At 40.9% G+C, this 10,975-nt stretch overlaps 1 non-coding gene and 1 pseudogene across 1 annotated transcript, besides 3 other annotated features; one reads left to right on the forward strand and one right to left on the reverse strand.

The window, feature by feature from the left end:
• The first annotated feature begins 2,437 nt into the window (after positions 1-2,437).
• Positions 2,438-2,536, forward strand: LOC124901854 (small nucleolar RNA U13). Its single transcript, XR_007060684.1, has one exon. It is a non-coding gene; the product is annotated as a small nucleolar RNA U13 (small nucleolar RNA).
• GRPEL1P3 (GRPEL1 pseudogene 3) lies at positions 2,550-3,075 on the reverse strand (annotated as a pseudogene).
• Positions 6,991-7,285: an enhancer, noted in NCBI's record as "tiled region #10512; HepG2 Activating DNase matched - State 5:Enh". NCBI's record gives its function as "activates a minimal TATA promoter and a strong SV40 promoter by Sharpr-MPRA in HepG2 cells {active_cell/tissue: HepG2}" and the evidence as "EXISTENCE:reporter gene assay evidence [ECO:0000049][PMID:27701403]".
• Positions 9,707-10,208: an enhancer, noted in NCBI's record as "H3K4me1 hESC enhancer chr7:75749385-75749886 (GRCh37/hg19 assembly coordinates)". NCBI's record gives its function as "activates a minimal SCP1, AML or CMV promoter by ChIP-STARR-seq in naive H9 embryonic stem cells {active_cell/tissue: H9 hESC(naive)}" and the evidence as "EXISTENCE:reporter gene assay evidence [ECO:0000049][PMID:30033119]".
• Positions 10,209-10,708: an enhancer, noted in NCBI's record as "H3K4me1 hESC enhancer chr7:75749887-75750386 (GRCh37/hg19 assembly coordinates)". NCBI's record gives its function as "activates a minimal SCP1, AML or CMV promoter by ChIP-STARR-seq in naive H9 embryonic stem cells {active_cell/tissue: H9 hESC(naive)}" and the evidence as "EXISTENCE:reporter gene assay evidence [ECO:0000049][PMID:30033119]".

The raw sequence follows: 10,975 nt of genomic DNA on the forward strand, positions 1-10,975 counted from the left end.
CTGAAGCAGAGCCACAGATGACAAGACAGAAATGTTCTCCTGGAATATGTCTAAATTAGTCAAGAGTCAGCCCATACATCTGTCTCTAACTAAACTTTTTAGCAACCATCACTAAGATGAAAACAGTCACATAATTCAGGGTTCAAAACATGAAAGCAAACTAATTCTTCAGGTGAAATTCTGACACCAAAATCAGAAATTTCTCCCAAGGGTTCTCACAAGGATGTCACAGTAGAAGAGCATGAATAAGGCCAAGAACAAACCCCCAGAACTGGCTGTCTCAGACCTCATCTACACAGGCCACTGACATCACACGCCAAGCGCCAATACATCCTGTGGAAGCCCACAGCAGTCTGACCGTCTGGCTTAACTCTAAAAGGATGGCAGGACACTTGGGGTCAGAGGCAGTCACCTCATTCCCTCAGTGAAAATGGCCAAGCACTCATGGCACTTTGTGATCACCTTGACTGCAGCCCTAATCACTGTCAACTAGTTACTCATATACATGTCATTTGGCTGAATTAAAATTGATCCCTCATCTATAAAAGCCTAGGTACTACCTTTAGTAAAGTTTAGATATTTCACTGTATTAAGCTCTTATTTATATTCATGACTTCCCATGTTTTTTATTGCACAGATTTTTAAAAAGTTAATATTATTAAGCCTTTTATCTGGTCATTAAAAACAATTCTTTTGGCCAGGCGCAGTGCCTCACACCTGTAATCCCAGAACTTTGGGAGGCCGAGGCGGGCAGATCACCTTAGGTCAGGAGTTCAAGACCAGCCTGGCCAACATGGCAAAACCCCGTCTCTACTAAAAATACAAAAATTAGCTGGGCAGGCTACTGCACACCTGAAATCCAGCTACTCGGGAGGCTGAGGCAGGACAATCGCTTGAACCCGAGAGGTGGAGGTTGCAGTCAGCCAAGATTGCGCCGTTGCACTCCAGCCTGGGCGGCAGAGCGACACTCTGTCTCAAAAACAAACAAACCAAACAAACACATTTTTTGTAAGTTTTTAATTTTATTTCTCTTTTTATTTTATTTGTTTTTTAATATATAGAAACAAGGTCTCACTATGTTGCCCAGTCTTGTCTCAAACTCCTGGGCTTAACTGATCCTCCTGCCTTGACCTCTAAAAGTGCTGGGATTATAGGTGTGAGCCACCATGCCCAGGTAAAACAATTTTTTGATAGTTCAATTTTTGCTTCTCTCTACAGCTGAAATACGTATCCTAAGGTACTGTTCATATATATATATATATTTTTCTTTTCTTTTCTTTTTTTTCCCCCGAGACGGAGTCTCGCTCTCTCACACAGGCTGCAGTGGTGTGATCTCATTGTAACCTCTGCCTCCCTGGTTCAAGCGATTCTCCTGCCTTGGCCTCCCAAGTAGCTGGAATTACAGGCAGGAACCACCACGCCCAAGCTAATTTTTTTTTTTTTTTTTTTTTTTTTTGAGATAGTCTCACTCTGTCCCTAAGGAGTACAATGGTGTGATCTTGGCTCAGTGCAACCTCCACCTCCCGGTTCAAGTGATCCTCCTGCCTCAGCCTCCTGAGTAGCTAGGATTACAGGCACCTACTACAACACTCAGATAATTTTTATATTTTTAGTAGTGATGGAGTTTCCCCATGTTGACCAGGCTGCTCTCAAACTCCTAGCCTCAACTCATCTGGCTGCCTCGGCCTCCCAAAGTGATGGGATTATAGGCATGAGCCACCATACCCAGCTCATATCCTAATCTACTTTCTTCTCAATTTTTTCATGTCAAGCTCTTTAATTTGGCTGGAATGTAAGGTGCATGGTATGAAACACAGAACTAAAACTCTATACAAGTGTATCTGTCATCACCATCAGCAGTTAGTAAAGCACAACCTTGTTCCCCCTCGTCCTCACAGGTGTCATGTAACTTGCTCCTGAGAAATTAAATCTATTTCTCAAATCTCTGGCTGATATCACTGTTCTGTATTTTCATTTTTTACCCAAATCTCATCTAGATGTGATGACTTTCATTTTAGAATGTATTAAAAACTCTGCTGGATTTAGAAACATCCCCGCTTCACAAATTCTTGCTTTTTACCCCCTCACAAAAATATCATATGGTATATTTGTTTCCTTGTTTTTCTATAATAAATAATGTAACACGGTAATTCAAATGATATTTTAAGTGTTTATACTGACCTGCAAAGTATTTTTTTTTTTGGAGACGGAGTCTCACTCTGTTGCCCAGGCTGGAGTGCAGCGGTGCAAACTTGGCTCACTGAAACCTCCGCCTCCCAGGTTAAAGCAATTCCCCTGCCTCAGTCTCCTGAGTAGCTGGGACTACAGGCGTACGCCACCACGCCTGGCTAATTTTTGTATTTTTAGTAGACACAGAGTTTCGCCATGAGGGCCAGGTTGGTCTGTAACTCTTGACCTCAAGTGATCCGCCTGCCTCAGCCTCCCAAAGCACTGGGAGTGTGATGACTAGGTTTTCACGTGTGAGATATGCCTCACTCACACCTTGTTACAACACTGGCACATTGCCTGTCGGATGTGAACAAAGACAAAAAAAGACCCTCACGCTCATAAGGGTGGAACTTGCTGTGACAGAGTTCATCTTGGCAGTGCTTGCTGAACACTTCCTGAATCTGGACTTCACTCATTGTGAGTCTCACAGAGAGAGGTTCTTCAGGTGAGGGTTATTGTCTTTAATTTCTTCTTCTGGAACACACTGTGTTGCCTTCTCCAAAACATCTGCAACCTCTAACGAGTCCTTGCAGAAGCCCTGAATGCTATACATATTTCCCTCCTCCACCAATTTTTGGCTGCTCTGCTCTGAGCCCTCAGTATCTGCCAGTGCTTGCTTATCTTCTTCCACAGCCTCCTTCAGCTGCTCTTCTAACTTGACTTCTTCCATGAGTATCTTGTCCATAGAGGGAGTATCTGTCCTCCATTTGGTTTGGATCCACATCCTCTTCCAAGTGCTGGCAACTGTTCTTTTGTTTTGTAGCTGTGTGCAGAACTGAGGAGAAGGCCTGGAGACAATGCCAACACCGGGAGACCGCGTGGCACCAGCCTCACGCATGGAGCCGCCGTGGCTGCCCCGGGATGATGATTTAAGTTTCCCCTCGCCCATCACTATATGCTTCTATGAAATGTTTTAAATTATTTTTATTCCTTCAGCATAATTATCAAATACATCTTTTATCTATTTTTTTCCTTATGACTTACAGATTCTGAGAGCTCAGAGCTATTTCCACTGCCTCACTTCTCATCCTCACTGCTTCTAGTTTTAAAATTAGGTCCTGGGTTGCTACCCCCGCTGAGGTTCTCACAATAATTAAAGCCTATTTGCTGGTTAAGGTTGCTTTGTTTTGGATACATACTTCTGTTCTTACAGTAATTACACAGCAGGGCAAATTACTCCTTGCATAAATATACACTTTAGAACAATGGAGTCATTTTAAAATATAGAAGGACACTTATCTTTCTACTTATTGTGGGAAAGATCATGGAAATGAAGATATAGTCATGTCTTAAACTGTATATTTTTTGTCCTCATGCAGGTACAAGGCTTTAAGTACATAATATATAATCAGTATCACTTTTTTTTTTTCTTTGAGACAGAGTTTTTTTGCTCCTGTTGCCAAGGCTGGAGGTGCAATGGCGCGATCTCGGCTACCTGCAACCTTCGCCTCCCAGGTTCAAGTGATTCTCCTGCCTCAGCCTCCCTAGTAGCTGGGATGACAGGCGCCCACTACCACGCCCAGCTAATTTTTTGTATTTTTAGTAGAGACAGGGTTTCACAATGCTGGCAAGGCTGGTCTCGAACTCCTGACCTCAGGCGATCCACCCACCTTGGCCTCCCAAAGTGCTGGGATTACAGGCATGAGCCACCGTGCCCAGCTCAGTATCAGATTTTTACAGAAGGACTGGCTAGAAAAAGAACAATGAAACAAGCAAAAGGTGTTACGTTGTGCTTAACTGCTTCCTGAGAAAAAAGAGCTTATCAGAATGACTACTAAGATGTCTTGTTGTAGAAACTGAATTGATTGCCCTGAAGGGAGTATTAAGGGATTAATAAAAATTAAAAAAATAAAAATAACTGAATTGAGAAACCCAAAAAATGGGCACTCCAGCCCATTTTAATAATAATTATTATTATTATTATTCAAGTTATGTTGTACATATTCGGTTTCAAAATTTAAAAATTTAAAAATTAAGCTTTATTAATTTGGTTCATCAATTTAAATTCTTGCTATGATTTGTAAGAACAGAAAAGTAGCTGGTGACAATCGTATGTTCAACATAAAAGGATTTTGTGTTAATGACATGGCTGCCTATCTCATTTGCAATGGAAATATCTTGTTTAAAGGACCTATACAGGTACTACAAGAGTATACATGTTTTAACATTAAATAGCTACTAAGAATAGCAAGAAAGAAAACAGAGCAAAATAAACAAGCTTCAGAAAAGTATTAGCAAACAACAATATTTGCTGAATAGCACTGGGTGCAGTGGCTCACACCTGTAATCTCAGCTCTTTGGGAGGCCAAGTTGGGAGGATCACTTGTAATTCAGGAGTTCAAGACTAGCCTGGGCAACACAGGGAGATCCCGTCTCTACAAAAACTAAAAAACTCAGCCAGACATGGTGGTGTGTGCCTATAGTCCCAGCTACTCAGGAGACTAAGGCAGGAGGATCACTTGAGTCTGGGAGGTCAAGCCTGTGGTGAGCTGTGACTGTGCCACTGGGCTCCAGTCTAGGAGACAGAGTAACACCCTGCTTCAAAAAAAGAAAGGAAGGAAGGAAAGGAAAGAAAGAGAGATGTGTTGCACAGTACAGCATTACATGGAAATACTGCAGTGGGTATGAAAATTATTAGGTGCTGAAATTTAAATTCTAAAAACAAAAAACATCTAAGTGTAGATAAAGTGTTTCTCGATAAAGATAAAATGGCTTAAAAATTTTAAGGCAGGCCGGGCACGGTGGCTCACGCCTGTAATCGCAGCACTTTGGGTGGCCGAGGCGGGCGGATCACGAAGTCAGGAGATCGAGACCATCCTGGCTAAGATGGTGAAACCCCGCCTCTACTAAAAATACAAAAAAATTAGCCGGGCATGGTAGCGGGTGCCTGTAGTCCCAGCTACTCGGGAGGCTGAGGCAGGACAATGGCGTGAACCTGGGAGGCGGAGCTTGCAGTGAGCCGAGATTGTGCCACTGCACTCCAGCCTGGGCAACAGAGCGAGACTCCGTCTCAAAAAAAAAAAAAAACAATTTAATGCAGTTCGGAAAAGATTTTTCTGGAGTTGACCCATATGCTGAAAAGGCTGCTCACCGCCGGCATGTACAGGGATTGGAGAAAACAGAAATGATGTGGGAAAAGATGTGGGCAAGAGCGGATCACTCTTCTGGATCTCAGAAATTTTAGAAAGCAAATACTGTGGGATGCAGTAGGAACAATTATCCGTTTATGGCAAGGCTGCCTGGGCAGTTTTTAAACAGGTAAGAATGAATTCTTATATTGCATAGGCCCTTAGGATACCATCTAGAAAGTTTAGTTGGTGGGAATAACATGAATTTAAAGTTTTTAAGCAGTTTTGATAAATTGAGTACAAAGGCTATTTTATACTACCACATTCTTCACAACGTCAGAGGAACTGCCCCAAGAAATTTATATGATTACTGATCTGAAGTTAGTTAGGTTAGTTCAGGTGTAAAGAGTGTTTATTTACTTATTTGAAAGGACATTAACTTGCAGCCAAAGGCCAAAAGGGCTTCTCTAGGGACATTCAGTTTAAAAAACATCTCTTTCATATACAGTATGTGCAGACTTCATGTTGGACACTAAAGATACCGGAGATACATGCACAGGACTTGGCCACCTAACTATGAAACACACAGTGTAGAAATGGAAAATAGGTGGCTTAGTGGCTCTTCAAACAGGAGAAATCTGAGGCCATATCCAGGTGTCTGATATAAACTAGTGATGCCTTACAAATAGGCATGGTGATATTTGTACTAGTTAATTACCTCTTTACTTTAGTACACTAATTTAGAAGTCTACTAAATTATTATAGAACAAGAACACATCACACTTCCGAGCAAAAGAAAAACATCAAATCCAAGTTGAGCAATTTTCTAAAACATATTATTATACAGCATATATGCTTAAGTACTACAATATACATATTCTAAGTTAGTACAGCTATCCCATCAACATTTCATGTGGGCTCAAGAATAAATACAAAACCTCAGTTTTTAGTTCTGATAAAAATGAAAGACGTATGTCACATGAACTCTGAATTTTTCCATATTAAGGATATCTATCATGGTTCCTAACTTAAAAAAAAAATCAATAACAGCTCACTTGTTTTAACTCCAAATGTTTTACTCTAGAGAGAAAAAATACCTAGAGAAAGACAGCTACTTACTTACACAGTCTAATTACATTTCTGAAGGGCGAGAAAGCAAGCTTTTCTCCTTTACAAACTGAATTCAATATCTAAAAATTATTTCAACACAAGTCCACTGCTTATTAGCCTAGTGATTGCTGACCCCAGCTAGAATATAGCTAAACAGTTAAACACCCCTGCTGCTTTTCTAATTTCCTTTTTCTTTCTAAGACTTCCTTACTGCATAGAAGGAACTTTCGGAGCTAATTCTGAGTTTAATGGTTATAGAATGTTACAACAGAATTAATCCCTATTTACAAAATGAATTCCTTTACAGGCAGTCTTATGAATTATTGCCACTGAAATTATGGGTCAGAAATTATGGATAAAAGAAACAGGTGTGGAAGTCACAACTACTTGACATTGGCAAAATCTAGCTGTGTAACCTTGGACAAGTCACTTATCCTCTTTGGCTCTCAACTTCCTCATCTATAAAATAAAGGGACTGAAACTCCATAGTTGCTAAAGTCCCTTTCATTGTCTAAATTCTGTCCTTTCTCTAACTGAATGAAAAAATTCAAAATCAAAATACAAAGAACAAAACAGAATTCCACAACAACAACCCTTAAAATTACTGCCACTGGCCTAACAATGGTTGCACAGAGTTAAAGGTCTACTATGGCAGTTTATACTATTTACAAGGTCACAAGTCAAAAAGGCCTGTTACTAAAAGCACATAATTCAAGTGGCTTCAAGGTCAGAATTTCCACACAAAGATGATCCAAACACCACTGAGTTGCAGTGGAAAAGTACTAGCCTCAGAGTTGGGTTTTAGCTTGATTCAGAGGCTTTTCTTAGGTAAGTAATTTAACATCTCTTGGTCTTGATTTTCTCCGGTATAAAATGACAAGGTTGCACTATATTATCCCTAAGACCTTTTCTCAAACCAAAGCTCTATGTTTCTATGTGGTTATTCTCAACCTACCCTTTTGTAATGCATCCCTTCCAAAAACAGCTTGGTCTGTTTATAGATTTCTTGGCCTGTCTTGTGGAAGGTCTTGAGAAATTCTATGAACTCCTTAGACACTCTATCCGTTTCAATGCTGGTTCGCCGGTTTATGGAAGGACTGGCTTTTGCTTCCTGAATTTCTGCTGGGAAAATTAAACATAGAAAGTTTCATGACATAAAAGATCCATGCGTGGAATTACTTTAAGTATCTTACCTAAGGTTATTTAAATTATGCTTCATCAAGGTTAAACTTGAATTTAAATCATTTTATGTTTGAATGATTGGACAACTTACCTTAAAGTAAACTAAATCTGTTTTACAAGTAGGAAGTATGAGTAGACAAAACTACATTATCTAAAAGATATTCCTACTGAAATAAAAGTTGTTCTATTAATATTTTCTTTGCCAAAATCTACCATGCTTTCATCTATATCTTCAATCATGAACACTGAAATGGCACCACTAGGCTTCTCAAAGACTGCTGGAGTTTATAAAACCAGTCAACAAATAGAATAACAATCAATAGAAGCACTGAAATGTTAGATGACTTATAAATGTTAGACAACCTTTCCAAATCCCATTTTACTTGACAAAAAGGCAAAGGTTAATGTGTTTGTGTGGAGACTCACAATTATTTACCCACCATTTCGTTGGTGAGTCATACTGATCAAAGTGAAAGAATGAATCCAAAGTATTAATAGCATGATGAACACGACAAAGCATACAATGAAGAGACAAGGGAAACATGCACTACACTATCCCACCGGCTGGGCAGACAATTCTTTCCCCTCTTCAGATAAACACACTGAAAGGAAAATGGGACATTTACACAAGAGAGGTAAGGATGTTGTAATAGGCAGTAAGTGCTTTCAGAAAGTATGAACTACCACTTGGTCTTTGACCACATTCTAAGCCTCCTGATTTTGAACTATGCTCTCTAATGTTTATAAGGAATTTAAGTTCCCCATATCCCAATGATTTCCTAAAAATAATTTTTTAAAAAGGTATGTTTTATTTGATTTTTTTTTTTTTTGAGACAGAGTACTGCTCTGTTGCCCAGGCCGGAGTGCAGTGGCAAGACCTCAGCTCACTGCAACCTCTGCCTCCTAGGTTCAAGCGATTCTCCTGGCTCAGTCTCCAACTAGTTGCAATTACATGTGAGTGCCACCACATCCAGCTAATTTTTGTATTTTTTTTTTCTTTTTTTGAGACGGAGTCTCACTCTGTCGCCAGGCTAGAGTGCAGTGGTGTGATGTCGGCTCACTGCAACCTCCACCTCTTGGGTTCAAGCGATTCTCCTGCCTCAGCCTCCCAAGTAGCTGGGACTACAGATGTGTGCCATCATGCCCAGCTATTTTTTGTATTTTTAGTAGAGACGGGGTTTCGCCATGTTGGTCAGGCTGGTCTCGAACGCCTGACCTCAGGTGATCCGCCCACCTCGGCCTCCCAAAATGCTGGGATTACAGGTGTGAGCCACCGCATCTGGCCAGAAAAAGTATGTTTTAAAGATATTAACCTGCCTATTCTACAGTTTCTTAGAGTAATTTCTTTTTTTTTTTTTTTTTTTTTGAGACGGAGTCTTACTCTGTCGCCCATGCTGGAGCGCAGTGGATCTCGGCTCACTGCAACATCCGCCTCCCAGGTTCAAATGATTCTCCTGCCTCACTCTCAAGTAGCTAGGATTACAGGCATGCCCCCCCACGCCCAGCTAATTTTGTATTTTAGTAGAGACAGAGTTTCACCATGTTGACCAGGCTGGTCTCAAACTCCTGACCTCAGGTGATCCTCCTATCTCAGCCTCCCAAAGTGCTAGAATTACAGGTACGAAACACCGCGTCTGGCTCTCAGAGTAACTCCTTATAATCTTTTATCTTCAGGACTCTTTTTTTTTGAGACGGAGTTTCACTCTTGTTGCCTATGCTGGAGTGCAATGGCGCGATCTCGGTTAACAACTTCCACCTCCTGGGATCAAGCAATTCTCCTGCCTCAGCCTACCAAGTAGCTGGGACTACGGGCATGTGCCACCACGCCTGGCTAACTGTGTATATTTAATAGAGAAGGGGTTTCTCCATGTTGGTCAGGCTGGTCTTGAACTCCCGACCTCATGTGATCCGCTTGCCTCCTAAAGTGCTGGGATTACAGGTGTGAGTTACTACGCCTGGCCTAACATTTCTATTTCTCCAAAATTTTCTACTAATAAAATTTTACATGTACCAAATGAAATATGTACATTTTAGCATTACTTGTAATAGCAAAAGACTGGAAATAACTGGCCATCACTGATGGACTAAATAAATTATCCTTTAATCCATAAAATAAAATGCCATAGGGTTTTAAAATTAAAAAGTATGCTTCTTGTGTACTGATATGGAAAGAGCTCATAAATGTATTGGAAGCAAAAACATAAATTAGCAACATAGTGAGATGCTCTCTCTACAAAAAGTAAAAACATTAGCCAGGCATGGTAGTGCGTACCTATAGTGCCAGCTATTTGGAGGGGCTGAGGCAGAAGGATCACTTGAGCCCAGGAGTCTGACTGCACTCCAGCCTGGGTGACAGAGTGAGACCTGGTCTCAAAAAAAAAAAAAAAAAAAGTAAGGGATGTACACTGTGCTGTGTTTTATATAAAACAGGGGGTAGCGGGGTAAGAATATATGTGTTTATAAATTAGAATAAAAGCACAGAAGGATACATAAGAAACTAATAACAAAAGTTCTGTGAAAGTAGGGGAGCAATAGGCCGGGCGCGGTGGCTCACGCCTGTAATCCCAGCACACTGGGAGGCTGAGGCGGGCGGATCACGAGGTCAGGAGATCAAGACCATCCTGGCTAACACGGTGAAACCCCGTCTGTATTAAACATACAAAAAATTAGCTGGGTGTCGTGGCAGGCACCTGTGGTCCCAGCTACTCGGGAGGCTGAGGCAGGAGCCACTGCGTGAACCCAGGAGGCAGAGCTTGCAGTGTGCCGAGATCGTGCCACTGCACTCCAGCCTGGGCGACAGAGTGAGACTCTGTCTCAAAAAAAAAAAAAAAAAAGTAGGGGAACAATAGCAGTGGTACTTAGGAACTAGATGGGCGAGAGACAAAGTAGAAAGGAAACTTCTAACCATACCTGTTACGTTTGAGTCATTTGGATATACTACCTATTTTTTTTAAGCACATAAATAAATCAGGTACAATCTAATTCAAAACAAAAAGGGCAACATCTTTTCTAAAATTCTTTTATGTAAATAAAAAACCAAAGACTGTGCTGACATCTGTATGATTAGGAAAAAATTCTTTATCAAAAATCCTTCTCTGTCTGATAATTCCGCTTCTAGTCATGATGGAATACTCTGATGGCATCAGGTTTACCCTACTATCTTAACAACTGAAGGGTGAGACAAATATATGAACAAAAGGTTTTCAGACATTGGATGACAAGCAAACAGCAGATTAACTCCTGAAAGAAGGGAAACAAATACAGTCTGTCCTAGAGTGTCCCAGCTCACTGCTGGGAGAGTTTTAAAGTCATGGCACAGGGAGAGGCCACTCAAACAGAGCCTAGCTGACTTGCTGAATTGAGGAGACAGCATTTGGAGTTCAGGG

Source organism: Homo sapiens, chromosome 7 (assembly GCF_000001405.40).
Source record: "Homo sapiens chromosome 7, GRCh38.p14 Primary Assembly".
In the NCBI taxonomy this organism is placed as follows: Eukaryota; Metazoa; Chordata; class Mammalia; order Primates; family Hominidae; genus Homo; species Homo sapiens.